This window comes from Homo sapiens, chromosome 7, assembly GCF_000001405.40.
Source record: "Homo sapiens chromosome 7, GRCh38.p14 Primary Assembly".
In the NCBI taxonomy this organism is placed as follows: domain Eukaryota; kingdom Metazoa; phylum Chordata; class Mammalia; order Primates; family Hominidae; genus Homo; species Homo sapiens.
Genome location: NC_000007.14, coordinates 96,429,529 through 96,447,235, shown reverse-complemented (window position 1 = coordinate 96,447,235; position 17,707 = coordinate 96,429,529). Strand labels below are relative to the sequence as shown.

General features: G+C 38.4%; 1 long non-coding RNA gene across 1 annotated transcript in view, besides 1 other annotated feature; it reads right to left on the bottom strand.

Moving 5' to 3' along the window:
* Positions 557–1,143: an enhancer, noted in NCBI's record as "VISTA enhancer hs2312; eDlx#19 fragment used in the reporter transgenes". NCBI's record gives its function as "enhancer in: branchial arch[3/3]; activates a Hs p68 promoter in branchial arch of transgenic mice, or an E1b promoter in branchial arch and pectoral fin of transgenic zebrafish {active_cell/tissue: branchial arch | fin}" and the evidence as "EXISTENCE:transgenic organism evidence [ECO:0001131][PMID:17130149, PMID:22914741]".
* LOC105375410 (uncharacterized) overlaps positions 2,149–17,707 on the bottom strand; it is an 86,586-nt gene continuing 71,027 nt past the window's right edge. The window contains exon 5 of the long non-coding RNA XR_927779.3: positions 2,149–2,184. This is a non-coding gene — a long non-coding RNA (uncharacterized LOC105375410). The remainder of the gene's footprint in view (positions 2,185–17,707) is intronic.

Genomic DNA, 17,707 nt, shown 5'->3' with positions numbered 1-17,707 from the left:
GATGCCTGTTCAAAATCTATCAATGTGATTAGTGTTTTAAATGATATATAAAGATGTTAAGTGTATATATGAAAAAGTACACTTTATTGAAAATAGTTAAGACCCAATAAATCATAACGAATTCAATATTAAATTCCATGTTGGGATTTTTTGGATAGATCAGATTCAGCAGCTCTTCTGTTTTGTTTTGTTTTGTTTTTGAGACGGAGTCTCACTCTTTTCTCCCAGCCTGAAGTGCAGTGGTGCCATCTTGGCTCACTGCAACCTCCACCTCCCGAGTTCAAGCGATTCTTCTGCCTCAGCCTCTTGAGTACCTGGGATTACAGGTGCCTGCCACCACGCCCAGCTAATTTTTGTACTTTTAGTAGAGATGGGGTTTCGCCATGTTGGCCAGGCTGGTCTCGAACTCCTGACCTCAGGTGATCCACCCGCCTCAGCCTCCCAAAGTGCCGGGATTACAGGCGTGAGCCGCAGCACCTAGCCAGCAGCTCTTCTTAACAGAAAGCTTTTGTGTGTTTCTGAGGAAATTTTGCCCAAGGAAAGACTGCTGCAGATTCCCGAGCTACATTTCTTTGCTCTTTTTATTCTCAATGAAACAATAATTATTCAATTAATCTTGTCAACAAGTGGAGGCTGGTTTCATTTCAGTTGTTTACTAATTATTATTGGGTAGATCTTTAGATCCTTGAAAATGTTGTCCAATTGCCACAAACTACTAATGAAGCCAGGCTTGGTTAATTAGGGAATAAGAGCAATTAGCTTGTCAGCAGTTAATTCCGACAGTCCCTAGAGAAAGGCTACATTTAGGGATTCGTATCACAGGAGCTATTGACCTCTAAACCCTCCTCCTTTTCTGTCACTGCTGTTTAATGGAAAGTCACTTATTTTGTCAGGCTAATAACTGAGGTAATGAAGTATCCCATGGCTTCAGCTTGCAACTCTGTTTTTCTCTTGCTAATTTTAGAAAGTTTATAAATAGCTGAAAGGGTCTATTTTGGACATCATTAAAAGAGGAAACCCAAGGTGGGACTTCACAGAATCCATTGAGGTCTGCTGACCACCCCTAAAGCTATCTGGAGCTCATTAGTCCACAGAGCTTTCTCTGCCGAAGAACAGTTGGTTGTGAATATTTTTCTGTTACAAGACTGTTAGGAGTCAAGGCAGTTTTGTCTAAAATTTTGATTTAATGGGACAAGAGAGGATGATTTTGAAATATGTCCTCTTGTTTCCATCTCTTCTGACAGAAACTCTTTTTAAAGCAATGGAATTAGGTAATTCATCTGTAGCCATTTGGTGGGGGATGGGGGGAGCGAGACTGGGATGGCAGTTATTAACCATAAAAGATCTTAGAGAAAGCTCTTAGGACAACCTGACAAGCCTGCCAAAGAGTAATAATTTAAACCAAGGTCCTCTGATTGATTGTTCTAATCTTGGACCTCCCACTTTCAGTGGAAATTCTGTGTAGAGCATCCCCTCCATGTCTAGACTAGAGCTGAATCTGACCGGATTGAGATATTTCACTGGACCAATTTGCTGTTCCCTGTCTCCCCATTCTTAGAAAAGTCTAGGACAGAAAAGTACAAGCCCTGGATCTTGGAAGCCCAGTCACCAGGCCATGGTCTGTCTGCCACATGGCATGTTTCAGAGTTTTATTTACCTCACCTTCACTTTTCTCCTTGGGAATATTATAAAAAACTCCTCTATGCTTAAGCCATGTTAGCCACTACATAGGATATAAAAAGAACATAAAAGTAGAAATGAAAATGGAGGCAACAAGTCCCATCTCATCATGGAGTTTTGCTGAAGTTGTCACCAATAGTAGAAGTAATGGTGTTGACCTTGTTGGTACTGAAAGGACCTAATAAAGAGCATCCCTGCCTTCTTCCCCCTGAGTTCAGAACCAAATGAAAAGCAAGACAAAAAGTTAAGGTGAATGGGCACCCATATCGCCTGTACTTTAAATTGGTAGAGTTCAACTCAGATTTTACTATACTCTCAGGGAAATTACCTCCATATTTTTAAGAAATCAAAATGTACCACTACCCGCCAAGTGTGGTGGCTCATACCTGTAGCCTCAGCACTTTGGGAGGCCAAGTCAGGAGGATCACTTCAGCCCAGGAGGTCGAGGCTGTAGCGAGCTGTGATCATGCCACTGCACTCCAGCCTGGGCTACAGAGAAAGACTCTGTCTCAAAAAAAAAAAAAAAGTAACTATATTAAACATCATATTAGAGAATGTGGCTTCTATCACAGGCTTTCTGATAGGACTTAGACCCCAGAATTAGAATTTACCCACTCAATGCCTGAACTGCTAGACCACGTCTTGTGGGAAAACTGTCTGAACCAAGGAGCTAAGAAGAAGATATGCTCCTGCTGGTGGCTGCCTGCTGAAGAAAAAGGAGTTGGCTTTGCAGGCCTAGCTTCTTTTTCCAAACTCAGTAACCAAATTAAGTCTCTCCTCCTCCAAGGAAGCAGCTAGGATGGGGCAAGAATACAGGCATGTTCTCCAAGTAGAATTTCCTCCACTGTAATAGGCAAGAACTATGCCTCCTCACAGATGTTACAGACAAAAGCTTTCTATATAGTTACATTTTCAGTGATTCATTAAGAAATTGAGTCCAATAAAATCTGAATTAAACCTTATTAATTTTAAAATTAAAGCGATTAACTTTTGCATTGTCAATAACCAATCCATAAGGCAAATTAATAATAGTTTCTATAGAATTCTTGAGGGATTATTTTAATTCTTAAACAAATGCACTAATTTTAAGACCTTTCAAAGGAAAGTGGCCCTAAGTATCTGTGGGGAATTGGTTCCAAGACATTCTGAGGATGTCAAAATCCAAAGATGCCCAATTCCTTATGTATAATGGTGTAGTATTTGCATATAACTAAGCACGTGCTCCCAAATACTTTAAATTATCTCTAGACTACCTAGAATACCAAATACAATGTAAATACTATGTAAAAAGTTGTTATACTGTATTGTTTAGGGATTAATGATATGGAGAAAATCTATATACATCAGTACAGGTACAATTTCTTTTCCAAATAGTTTCAATCCTTAGTTAAGTCCATGATACAGAACCTGGGACACGGGGGCCTACTATAACACTCAGATGAAAAAGGATCATGCTAAAATATGACACTTTTAGCTGTTAAATTAGCTAAACATGCATATGTATTTTGTTATTACCAGGAGAGTGGAAATGATGCACAAAAGTCAGTTTTTAATTTTACTTCTCAATATGCACATATTTTACCAACATGCCCTACCCTCAACTTGCGGATGAGTAAAGAAAGAATGAAAGGAAAAGGTACTGTGAGTTGCCCCATGTTTCCCTTTCCTTCTATGCTATTTTTAGCACAACTGATTTACTAATACAGGGAATTAATAAAACAAAAGATGTGACAAGGTTCCCTGGTTATATGTTTCTTAGAACATTGCATTCTTCCTGTGTTTGAAACAAATTCTGGTTTGAACAGAAAATGTGGTCTTTTGAGACCATTTGCATACCCTACACACACACACACACACAGACACACACATACACACATACACACACACACACACGAGTCCTGGATGTAGCACCCTCACCTTATACTTGCTTTGAGTCTTGCTGAATTCGCTTGTTTCATGGGTCCACCAGAATTCTGTGTGCCTGGGGCAGTGGGAATGCTATCTGCAGATGGGACAGCTAGGCAGAATGGAGAAGCTATACTGCATGGATCTCCTATGCTCAGATGCAAGCTTTATTGTCCCATCATACTTTATGAAACACAAGTTCAAAGATAAAAATTCTTAAAAATTTCCAAACAGAGGCAGCAGAGCATGAGTGTGGGACACTTTTGAGCATGGGACCATGTGCAATGGCACAGGTCACATGCTTATGAAGATCACATGCCCTAAACGACATAGGCCACATGCCCATGAAGAAAGATCACATGCCCTTGAAGCCAGCCCTGAGTAGAGGATAGGATTAGACCTGAGAAAGTTTGGGCCACAGATTAGTAGCAGGGAAGCCTGAGTTCTGGGGATAGTGAACAACTGAAAGAGAGGAGCAAGTGTTGAAACAAGCCCCCACACACAGCCTTTTTTTTTTTTTTTTTTTGACATAGTCTCACTCTGTTGTCCAGGCTGGTGTATAGCGGCACAATCTCGGCTCCTTGCAACCACTGCCTTCCAGGCTCAAGTGATCCTCCCACATCAGCCTCCTGAGTAACTGGGACTACAGGAACATGCCACAACACCTGACTAATTATTGTATTTTTTTGTAGAGATGGGGTTTTACCATGTTGCCCAGGCTGGTCTGGAACTCCTGGGCTCAGGAGATCTCCCCATTTGGGCCTCCCAAAGCCTAGGGACTACAGATATGAGCCACCACACCTGGCCAACTCCCTATTCTTATTTTAAGCAATTCCTCTCACTTTTGCCAGGAGGTAAGAATATCAACAACAAATGGGCCTTGTACCAACAGAGCACCAGGCTACATGCAATTGCTAGTTACAGTATTAGGGATTATTTACCCCTCAATTAATACAAAGAAATTAAGTTGTTATTCAAGTTTTATGGACCCAATTTAGCCTTTGGGCTAAATTACCTTCCACTGAGCACAAAAGTATGTGAGTTTTTGCTACATTTTTGTTAGCATCTGGCAACAACCAGTAAGATTAAATAAAAGTTTATTATAATTTTTCCAGTGATTTAGTAAAATTGGCATAAATATGCAGGTTTGGTAAATTAAACAGCCTTTAGGGTCCTTTAAACCCATTACATTTGTGATCATTTTAGTTTACAAAGTGCTATCACCTACAGAATTCCCATTTAACCCCCATCATAACCCTGTGAAGTAAGATAGGCAGACATTATATCCCTAAGTATGAGTGTGTTTACCGGGCCTGCCCTGCCAGGGTGCTGAATTGGGTTGCATGAACCTCCATTGCCCCCACAGCCCCAGCTGACTGGAAAGGTGGAATCACTTAATACAAGAGAAATCATAACATAAGCTAGACAATGTGCTGGTGTGACCAGACTCTAAAAGATGAAATGGGCCAATTGGATGTATCTCTGAGAGAGAGAGCATAACGTGTCCAATACAGACCTCCTTGTACAGATCAGACAGTTCACATTTCTCAAATAGACCTATTGAGAAATTTTCCTAAACTGTTTTGTTCTTAGTCTTCTCCATCTTAGTAAAAGGCATTTCCAGCCACTCATTTGCTCAGCAAAAGACCTAAGAATCATCCTCGTTCCTTCCTTTTCTCTCCCTGCTACCTCTCAGCAAGCTCTGCAAATGCTTTTTATAGCTTTAGTCTATCTGCTTCTGCTCTTTCCCACTGACCACCTCTGGAACAGGCTATAATTATCTCTTGTCTAATTTTGCAATAGCCTCAAAACTAGTCTCCCTGCTTCCATTCTTGCCCCTTTGGTAATCCATTTTCTACACAATAGCCATTGTGAGCTTTATAGAACGTAAATCAAACCATGCCACTTACATACTTAAAGTGTTTCAGAGTTTTTTCATAATGAAAGAACTCATTGCCCTGTCTTACAAAGCTCTGCATGGTGTGGAATTTATATTCCTCTCTAAGCTACCTCATACCAATCCCTTCGGCTACACTGGCCTTTGTTAGCTCCTGGACCCATTAAGCTCTCCCTACCCCAGGGATCTTGTAATGCCTATCTTGAAATCATTTTGGTGGGGACTAGCTTAAATATCACCTCCACATAGAAGCCTTCAGTGATCATGTTCCCCCAACACCGCCAAAGGAATTCTCTACCCTGTTACTCTCTACCCGGCTCCCATTCATTCTCATCATAGAATGTACCAGAGTCTGTCTTATTTATGCCTCTGCTTGTTCATTGGCCATTTCTCTCCATCAAATGTAAGTTTCATGAGGACAAGGACCTTGTCTAAATTGTTTATTACTATAGCCCTAGCACATAGAGTAGTTCCTGGCACATAATAGATATTAAATAATTTTTTCTTTAAATGAAGAACAGAGAGGAAGTCAAATAAATATATTAAAATTTTCAGATGTAGTGGAGATTGGGGCACCCTGAGAGACCACGGGGAAATAAAAATTATGCACATGTAAAGGAGAAAGGAGACAGGAACACAATTGCAGAAATAACCCCAAATCCGAGAAAGAATAAATACAGGCTCTAGACTACCTTCAGTAGGAACAATGTCCCAGTTCTGAATTCAGGACAGGTGTGTCCTGACAATAAACTCTTTTTGCCAGACACCAACCAAAGTTTCAAGTTTTTTTAATTAGAAAACTGAAGGTTATTCTGAAGCTTTGTCTTATGACAAGTCACTGTGAATGGGCATCCTAGATGACCTATCCAACCCTATGGCTGGCAAGAAAGACACAGTAAACAACCATGAAGATCACATGGAATGGGTGAAGGATGGCATCCCCAATGAAGAGATGCACCAGATAAAAATGACAAGTCCTCTAAGATTACCCTACCATAGACCCCTCCCAAATGCCTTAGCATTCCCTGAACACACACGCACTCTTCTACATGATCAGGGCTTTGCACTTGGTCTCTGCCTCGATTACTCTTCACTGTTAGCTTCCTAGTGTACTCAAAATAGGATGGTTGCTCTCAAGGCCCTCCATGTATGCTTCAACAGGAGCCAACTCACAGCCCTGTGTTCTTCATCTTTGCTTACATTTCTGTCTTTCTTGGTTAGACAGTGAAAGTCTGTTTCGGGGACAGTGAGCAGGTGCTCAACGCAATAGGTGCTCCACAAAGAAATGGGCACATGATTATTTTCAAAGTTCACACAGCTAATGACTCACAGGGCCAAAATTAGAATCCAGTGTGTTTCCCTTTGTTCATTCTTCAAATCTTGTATGGCATTATCATTGTACAGATGGTTATGAAGAAAAGCTTTCCTGATGATCGTAGCAAAAGCCTTAGTTTGGGGATTAATGTTGAAGAAAAGCAAAACAATTCTCTACTGAATAAATACAGAAGGCCTCACAGTGTTCTACTAAAATAAATTGTATCATTGGAGTCGTGATAACTGAGGGAAATTTTCTATTTTTAAGTTCTTTTTACAACTCTTGTAACAGTCAGTATCCCAGGCAAATATTTACCCAACATGTACTTATTTAATGGCTACTGGATAGGAGACTCCCTGCACCAGCGACTGGGGACAAAAAGGTAAATAAGACATGTCCCCTGCCCTTGAGAAGACATAATCAATAAAGGAGTACACAGCAGCCTACATGATCCTTTAAAATTGAGTAAATCATATCACTCTTCTGAAAACAAACAAAAAACCTCAACTGGGTTTTCTATCTCATTCCTGGTAATCTCCAAAACCTTTCCTATGACTTAGAAGACCCTCCTAGCATAGCCTCCTTTACTTTTCTCACCTCATCTTCCACTGCTCCAGTACTCCTAGGTTTCTGCCTCAGGCCTTTGAACTTTCCTTTCTCTACCTGAAGTATTCTTCACCAAATATCCATAGTTCAATCCCTCATTTCTCTAGATCTCTCCTCAAATGCCTTCTTAGCTAAAAGGGCTTTCCTGTCCACACTGTCCACCACTCACCTCCCAACATCATTCTCTGACCCTTGTACCTGGCTTCATTTTTCTTCAAGCATTACTATTAACTGATATTTTAGATTTAGGGGGTACATGTGCAGGTTTATTACACAGGTATATTGCATGATGCTGAGGTTTGTGGGTGTGAATTATTCCATCATCCAGGTAGTGAGCATAGTACACAATAGGTAGCTTCAGCCCTTGCCCCTCTTCTTCTTTCCTCCCTCTAGTAGTCTTCAGTGTCTATTGTTCCCATTTTTGTGTTCATGTGTACCCAATGTTTAGCTCCCACTTATAAGTGAGAACATGTGGTATTTGGTTTTCTGTTTCTGTGTTAGTTCAGTTAGGATAATGGCCTCCAGCTGCATCCATGTTGCTTCAAAGGGCATGATTTTGTACTTTTTAATGGCTGTGTAGTATTCCACTGTGTATATATACCACATTTTTTATCCAACCCACTGTTAATGGCCACCTAGGTTGATTCCACGTCTTTACTATTGCGTGTGAATACTGCTATGATGAATACACAGACGCATATGTCTTTTTTGTAGAACAGTTTGTTTTCCTTTGGGTATATACCCAGTAATAGGATTGCTGGGTCAATTGGTAATTCTAAGTTCTTTGAGAAATCTCCAAACTGCTTTCCACGGTGGCTGAACTAATTTACATTTCCACCAACAGTGTATACAGATTCCCTTTGCTGTTTTTTGACTTTTTAATAATAGTCATTCTGAATGGTGAAATGGTATCTCATTGTGGTTTTGATTTGCATTTCTCTGATGATTAGTGATTATGAGCATTTTCATGTTTGTTGGCTGCTTGTATGTCTTCTTTTGAAAAAGTACCTGTACATGTCTTTTGCCCAGTTTTTAATGGGGTTATGTAGTTTTTGTTTGTTGAATTGTTTAAGCTCCTTATAGAGTCTGAATATTAGGCCTTTGTTGAATATATACTTTGCTCATATTTTCTGCCATTCTGTAGGTTGTCTGTTGACTGTTGATAGTTTCTTTTGCTGTGCAGAAGCTCTTTAGTTTAATTAGGTCCTACTTATCAATTTTTATTTTATTGCAATTGCTTTTGAAGACTTACTCATAATTTCTTTCCCAAGGCCTCTGTCCAGAATTATGTTTCCTAGGTTTTCTTCTGGAATTCTTTTTTTTTTTTTTTTTTTTGAGACGGAGTCTCGCTCTGTCGCCCAGGCCGGACTGCGGACTGCAGTGGCGCAATCTCGGCTCACTGCAAGCTCCGCTTCCCGGGTTCACGCCATTCTCCTGCCTCAGCCTCCCGAGTAGCTGGGACTACAGGCGCCCGCCACCGCGCCCGGCTAATTTTTTGTATTTTTAGTAGAGACGGAGTTTCACCTTGTTAGCCAGGATGGTCTCGATCTCCTGACCTCATGATCCACCCGCCTCGGCCTCCCAAAGTGCTGGGATTACAGGCGTGAGCCACCGCGCCCGGCCGGAATTCTTATAGTTTGAGGTCTTGCATTTAAATCTGTAATCCATCTTGTATATGGTGAAAGGCAGGGGCCCAGTTTCATTCTTCTCCATATGGCTAGCCAGCTATCCCAGCACCATTTATTGAATAGGGAGTCCTTTCCCTATTGCTTATTCTTGTTGACTTTGCCAAAGATCAGATGGCTTTAGGTGTGTGGCTTTATTTCTGGGTTTTTAAATTCTGTTCCATTGGTCTATGTGTCTATTTTTGTACCAGTAACATTCTGTTTTTGTTACTGTAGTCTTACAGTATAGTTTGAAGTCATATTATGTGATGCCTACAGCTTTGTTCTTTTCACTTAGGATTTCATTGGCTATTCGGGTTCTTTTCTGGTTCCATGTGAATTTTAAAATAATGTTTGTTAATTCTGTGAAAAATGATGATAGTTTGATAAGAATAGCACTGACTCTGTAGATTGATTTGAGCAGTATGGCCATAATATAGTTTGGATATTGTCCCCCAAATCTCATATGAAAGTATAATCCACAATGTTGGAAACGGGGCCTGGTGGGAGGTGTTTGGGTCTTGGGGGCAGATTTCTCATAGCTTGGTGCTGTCCTCATTATAGTGAGTGAATTCTCATGAGATCTGGTTGTTTAAACGTGTGTGTAACCTCCCCAGCCTGCGTTGCTCTTGTTCTTGCTGTATGACATGCCTGTTCCTGGTTTGCCTTCCACCATGAGTCAAATCTCTCTGAGGCCTCCCCAGAAGTCAAAGAGACGCTGGCACCATGCTTGTATAGCCTGCAGAACCATGAGCCAATTAAACCTCTTTTCTTTATAAACTACCCAGTCTCCAGTATTTCTAGACAGCAACACAAGAATGACCTAACACTGGCCATTTTAATGATATTGATTCTCCCAATCTATAAGCATGGAACGTTTTTCTATTTGTTTGTGTTGTCTGTGATTTATTTCAACAGTGTTTTATAGTTTTCCTTGTAGAGATCTTTTGCTGCCTTGTGTAACCTCTCTTTCTCTCTCTCTGCCTCTATTCTTCTCTCTTACACACACACACACACACACACACACTCTCACACATACACAAACACACACAAAATTATAAGCTTCTTTAAACAAGAATGTGTGGTTTTATCCATATTCAACAAGTGGTTGTTGAATGGCTTAATGAATGAATTAGTACATTTCATAAATACTTTATTGCAAACTTATCAAAATATACATAATTATGCAATTACAACAATTACTCTCTTAAACTGCACTGAAGATAGCTCTTACTGAGAACTAAATCTGGGTGTTTAGGCTAGAACCTGGCCCTTGTTGAGGAGGCTGTTTCTTATTTCTAGAGAGCCATTAGATATAAGACACTGGACCAGATATTGTGAAAGAAACAAATGTGGTTAAAGTAAGATGTGGACTTTAATGGAATTTTGATTTATTAGGAGAGATAAAATTTACACCTGATCATACAAATGTAGTCATGTGGCAGTTTGAAGACAAAGCATGTAATGAAGGCTCAGAAGAGAGAAAGAATACTTTTTGGGAAGATCAGAGACTTAAAGGATACATTGATGTATCAATTATGCATTGAAGAATAAGTAAACATTTGGAAAAGAAAATTGCCCACAAAAGAGATATAGAAAACAAAGCCATGAGACGATAGGAAAAGGTATAGTCTACCTTGAACACTAATGGGAGTAAAACTTGAACACTAATGGGAGTAAAACTTGAACACTAATGGGAGTAAAAGAGATACAGATGGAACGATCCACTGAGAACCCAGGAGCCAGCGAATATGCTCAACATTTGAAATTGTGGGAGGCAGGTGTGCAAGCCTGTGCTCAAATCCACACTGGGTCTCATGGACTAACCTTGAAACTAGTTCTTTAGCAAAATTAAAATATCAGTACCTCCTTTGAAGAGTTCTAACAGAATAACATTTTGAAAAGCACTGCCACATATTATATTTCGTTAATACTGTTTCTTCATTATTCAGAAGACATTGTCTAAGTCATAGAAGAAATTTGGACAAATGAATGACACAACCAGAGCTTTTCCTTATTGACAAATTACCTAAAAGATTTGGTGTGATTTGGTTTTCCCTTACTTGGTATTTCTGAAATGCCAAACTCAATTTCCTATTCCTCTATATGTCAACCACGTACATGATGTCAACATTAGCCTCTTCTTTATACATATGCCACAAGATGGAGTATCCAAACCTAAACATTCAAAATAGAAACCTGAAAAAGTTATGAGGTCATGGAGCCAGACAGCCTTGGTTGGATGCTGCCTTTTCCATGCAATAGTTATGTGACCTTGTAATGCCATTGAACATCTCTGTGCCTAGTGGTTGATGCTATAAGAATTAGATAAGATAATGTATGTCAAGTACTTAACACAGACTTGACACATAGTAAATGCTTCATATATATTAGCTATTATGTTCCCATTGAAGTTCTCTTAGATTCTAACCAGACAACATATAAAAATTAGTAATTTAGTTTTCATCGTCTTTTGTTATTAATACGCCATATTAAAATGGACCTTTAAGAGTAGTATGTACCTGACACTGAAGGAAATACAAAACTGGATTTCATGAAGATTAAAAAACCTTCATATATCAAAGAACACCATCAAAAGAGTAAAAAGACTCCATACTACCCATAGTGAGCTACAGATTCAGGGCAATCCCTATCAAAATACCAATGACATTCTTCATAGAAATAGAAAAAAAAATTCTAAGCTTCATGTGAAACCACAAAAAACCCTGAGTAGCCAAAACAATCTTGAGCAAAAGGAACAAAGCTGGAGGCATCACACTATGTGACTTCAAGATACACTACAAAACTATAGTAACCAAAACAGCATGGTTCTGGCATAAAAACAAACACATAACACATAGACCAACAGAACAGAATAGAAACCCAAAAATAAATCCATCCATTTACAGCCAACTGATTTTCAACAAAGGTTCCAAGAACACACATTGAGGAAAAGACAGCGTCTTCAATAAATGGTGCTAGGGAAACAGAATATACAAATGCAAAAAAAAAAAGAAAAAAGAAAAAGAAAATAGACCCCCATCTCTCACCATGTACAAAAAATCAACTCAAAATGGATTAAGGCTTAAATACAATACCTGAAATTATGAAACTACTATATGAAAATGTAAGGGAACTATTTCATGACATTAGTCTGGGCAAGGACTTTTTGGATAGAACTTCAAAAGCACAGACAACAAAAGCAAAAATAGACAAATGGGATTGCATCAAACTAAAAAGCTTCTGTACAGCAAATGAAACAATTAACAGAGTGAAGAGACAATGTACAGAATGGGAGAAAATATTTGCGAACTATGCACCTGGCAAGGGGTTAATATCCATAATACATAAGGAATTCAAACAACTTAATAGCAAAGAAACCAAATAATCCAATTTTAAAATGGGCAAAAGATTTGAATAGACATTTCTCAAAAGAAGATATAGAATGACCAACAAACATATACAAAATGCCCAACATCACTAACCATCAGGAAAATGCAAATCAAAACCACGGTGAAATACCACTTTGCACCCACTAGGATAGCTATAATTTCAAAAAATAAAAATAACAATTCCTCTTGTGGAGGTGGAGAAATTGAAACTTTTATATGTTGCGAGGGAATGCAACATGGTTCAGCTATTGCAGAAAACACTTTTGTGATTCCTCAAAACATGAAACATAGAATTACCATTTGACCCAGCATTTTCACTTCTGGGTATATATCAAAAAGAATTGAAAACTGCATAAATGTACATGCATGTTCATAGGGGAACTTTTGAAAAAAGCCAAATTTCCATCAACTCATGAATGGGCAGACAAAATGTGGTATACGCATACAGGGGAATATGACTCAGCCAGAAAAAATGAAGTGCTGATAGATGCTACATCAATGAATCTATAAAGCATTATGTTAAATGAAAGAAGCCAGACACAAAAGATCACATATTGTATGATTCCATTTATATGAAATATTATATATTCAGAATAGGTAAATTCGTAGCAACAGAAAGCAGATTGGTAGTTGCCAGCAACTGGTGGGGGGACAGGAATGGGGAGCAACTGCCAAATGGGTACAGGGTTTTCCTTTGGGATAATTCCGTCTGATGGAAATGTTTTAGAACTAGGTAAATGTGGCAGTTGCACAACACTGTGAAAATACTAAGTGCCACTGTTCATTTTTAAATGGTAAATTTTATGTTATATGAATCTCATTTCAGAAAAAATGGAAACAAAATTATCATCTCCATAAGATATTAGCATTACAGCCTTTCCTAATTAATTTGTCCTATTTTATACTCTCACAGTGTATGTTCCCGCCATCATGCCATGTTATCCCATGTGTTCTACTTTGTTTCAATACACATCTACTACAGAGGTCAGTAAACTATGTCCTGCAGGCCAAATTTGGCCCACTGCTTGTTTTTGTGTGGCCCACAAACTAAGAATTGTTTTTTACATTTTAAATGGTTGAAAAAAGTTAAAACAAGAATAATAGTTTGTGAGACATGAAAATAGTTTGACACTTAAGTTTCAGTGTCCACTCAGAAAGCTGTATTAGTTTATGGTTACTGTCATTCTCTTACAACATACTGTCTACGCTTGCTTTCATTCTACAGTACCAGCTCTGAGTACAGAGATTACATGGCCTGCAAAGCAAAAAATATTCACCATCTGCCCCTTTACAAAAAATGTTGTTGACCCCTGATGTACTCGATCATAATAAGCTTTAAGTAGAAGTAATCTCTCACAGCACCCAGCCTGATGATTTGTACATTCTAGAGAGTTGATAAATGTCTCTTGCATAAATACCTCTGTAAAGTTTTTACTATTCAAATGCATGCCACAGGATTTCTGCTTCTATATGCTAATAAAATTGAAAGCACTAATTTCTTTGTATTTTTACAAAGTTTGACACCTCGTTTGATATTTGGCACATGAATTCTACAAAAGACTTTTTTAAACAGAAACTCCAAGCTGCAATGAGAATACATCATACCCAAAAGGAGAAGTAATTTTACAGTCTTTTTAAAAATATGAAATAGATGCTTATGTTGAAATCTTGAAAATCACACTAATGTGCCATTCAAACTTTAAACGTCAGTACATAAAACTATGTTAGTTTTCTAGCACAAAAATAAATGAAGGATTAAAAAGTTCTGATCCCTAGCATTGCCTTTCTGGAGGATAGATTCAGAACTAGTGTGACAATAGTCTTTAAAAATTTCTAAAATTAATATTTAATTTATTAGAACAAACAGAATTCTATAATCCATTTTACAAAGTGAGTTACCACGTATGTTCAAGAAAATGTAGGTAAAGATGTAAATACTAAACATTATTGGAGTAGATTGTGGGGAGAAAAGAGGCAAAAAAAAAAAGAAACATAAAGATTAGGTTTTTATCTTGATTGTAAATGATAAATTATCCAGAATCTTGGTAAGACAAAAATGATACTAAGCAGCAATCACTTATGTTTCTTAAACATTTTTTTAGCAAAATTATTCTTTGACTCTTAATATTTTCATCATTACTTTTATTTCTCTGTTTTGCAAAGGAGATTGCCTGGGTTGCATGGGACTGTCGGTATAATCAAGCAAGCAAGCAATACAGTGAAATTGATGTCATGTGATGAGCACCCATTTGGAGGTCTGAAGATCTCAGCATGGAGCCAAGCCACCATGGCCCTATTCTTAAACCTTTCATCATCCATGATGAAGAAGGTGACTACATGGTTTCTGAGATCCTTTCATTCTCATATTCTGGGAGTCTAAGTAATAAGTTAAATTCTGACATTTGTGATTGACTATTCAACAGATTTGAGTGAATCACATTTTTATAAATAATATATATATTAGGCTTTTGTATTTCTTCTTTCTCAAATATTCTATGTGTACCTACTAGTGAAATAGCCCTGTATTAAATAGGGCAATATGAAAGAGTTTATGAAGGCTTAAAGAGCTATATAAATGTATGTTGTTATTATTAAATAAAAATCATACAATGTTAGTGTTAAGGCCAGAAGGTCTTAGAGATCACCTTACATGACTTCATTTCACAGATGAGGAAACTGTGGTTCAGAGAGGTGAAGTGCTAGAGATTCAAAGATTCAACCTTTTCTATTATTCTATGTTACCCCATTTACAGTTAAGAATTGCATTCCAGGCCAGATGCAGTGGTTCACACCTAATCCCAGCACTTTGGGAGGCCAAGGCAGGAGGATCACTTGAGGTCAGGAGTTTGAGACCAGCCTGGCCAACATGGCGAAACCCCGTCTCCACTAAACATACAAAAATTTGCCAGGCATGGTGCCCCGGGCCTGTAATTCCAGCTACTCAGGAGGCTGAGGCAGGAGAATTGCTTGAACCCAGGAGGCAAAGGTTGCAGTGACCCAAGATCATGCCACTGCACTCCAGCCTGGCCAACAGAGTGAGATTCCATCTCAAAAAAAAAAAAAAAAAAAGGAATCGCATTCTAAAGTATTACTGTCCTTGCAACAGTTGCCTATATTGGCTTTCCCAATTATAATTTACCTTTTTTATTCAAGAAGCAGTCTGTTTTCTCACGCTCTTACTTTTGTATTCCCATGGCTTGATTTTAAGCTAGTTTCTATGTCTGCAAAACATTGCATTTTCTGATTGGGTTTATCAAACAATGATATCTAAGTAATATGTTTGTATTTCATCCAAGCGTAAGAAGTATACAGCTCATTAGAATTTAGGGCTAATAATGTAAAATGAAGAAAAATAAACAAAGATAAAATAAGGGTAAATTGTTGCCTTATCTGGACAATTTTGATATCAGATTCCTCAAAACTATGGTTTTATAAAGAGACATAAATTAACTTATTAAATCATATCTTGTTAACCAGAAGATCAACAATAGTAGTAAGATACTTCTGGCAAAGTCCATTCATTCAGTCATTCAACAAACATTTATCAAGCCCTATAAATAGCAAGACCTTGTTGGAGACCCTAACTAAAAGGCAGAGATTAATAAGTTCCTTCCTAGGAAGGAATTTAAGAAATAATAATAATTCACTGAGTCCTTACTGTGTGCCCTGTACAAGGTGTTTTATGTGAATGATCTCTTTTGATCTTCAAGACAACATGAGTTATATACCAGTATATTAATGTGAACTTTAAGTGAAATATAATATAAAGCATCTAGTACAGTGCCTAGAACATACTAGATTCTCACAAAATATTAATTTTCTTTTGGTCCCCCTTTTATTTCACAGCAGACATCATAATTTTTCCTTCTAGAAGATATATCCCAGAAAGCAGTGGATTTCCAGAGCTGAATGAATGATACAACCAAAAGAACCTGCTGGTTGAACATAAGAAATCCCCCCAGACCCAAGGTAAGGCTTAGAGCAGTGGAATGAAGCTCAGCTAAAGGCAGGAATTGGACAGCCACCCATCTGAAGGCACTGGGGCCCAGGACACGCTGGAGATTCTTGGAGGTGGGAAGTAAGCAGAGGCTCCACCATCAAAGTTTGGAGGAGAAGGGGTCTGGGCTCCTCTCAGTCATGTACAAGTTCCTGCAGTGGAGGAAAGCCCAGTTCCAAGAAACACAGCGAAGGAAGCGTGGGCAGAGGCACAAATAGCAGATTGGATGCCCCAGCCTAGAGCCTTCAGAGTGTGGCTTCCAGAACCACAACAAACTCTAACAGACTTTCCACAGAGATGGGAAGGAAGTTGCTAGAACAAACACTATCCTGAAACTTGCCCCAAATCTGAACCTCATCAAACCCCAGTGTTTTTTTGAGGTTAGAAAAAGCCTGGCTTAGCATTTTTAAAACAATATCTATTTGCCTTTTGTCTACCATTTGCAGCCAGAAGTGGAAGTTCTAAAAACCCATTAAAAACTTTGGGTTTTATTTTGTATTTATTTCTTTACTATATGCTTTGCCTGGCCAAAACCAGAAAATGCTGGAATGGCACAAGTTCATTCTCCTGAGATATCCAGATCAAAGTTGTTTGGAACTGCTTGGCAAAATATCTGAATTTTTCCATTCTTATCCAAACCAATGCCTCCAATCCCTTGCAATTTACTCATATGCATCCACCTTCTCAAGTGTTCTGAGGCATTTCTTTCAGCACACACACTGGCCTTCAAAGGGTAACAAGAAATTGTGTGCTGGCAGAAGCTATATTTTCAAGTTTATGCCTTCAATTCATTATCCGACAAAGAGAACAAGAAATTCTGGCAATTTTATCCACTCTATATATTCCACATGGAGTAAAGTATAGGAAGAGCAATGTCAAAGACCCTCTTGCATAGAGATTTATTTGTTGGCAGTATATTTTACACTGCTAAATTATCATCCTCTCTCCTAAGTGTGGAATCCAGTTTGGCCAAGTAAAACTTTAAAGCAGCACATATAATCCGACCAGCAAATTTACTGGGAAACTGGTCTTGTTCTTTTCATAGTGCCTTAGAGAAATGTCCCTGCGGGTGGGGGGTTAGCAAAACTTGCCCTCTCAGATATGTTGTATTTTTGTTGCAGAATTCACATTTTACACTTATTTCCCATTGGTCATTCTTATTCTAAGTGGCCTTAATCCATAGATGTTACCTTTCAGGAACATATTAAGGGTATAATGCAGTGCATGCTGCAATGTTAATCTTGTCTTCAT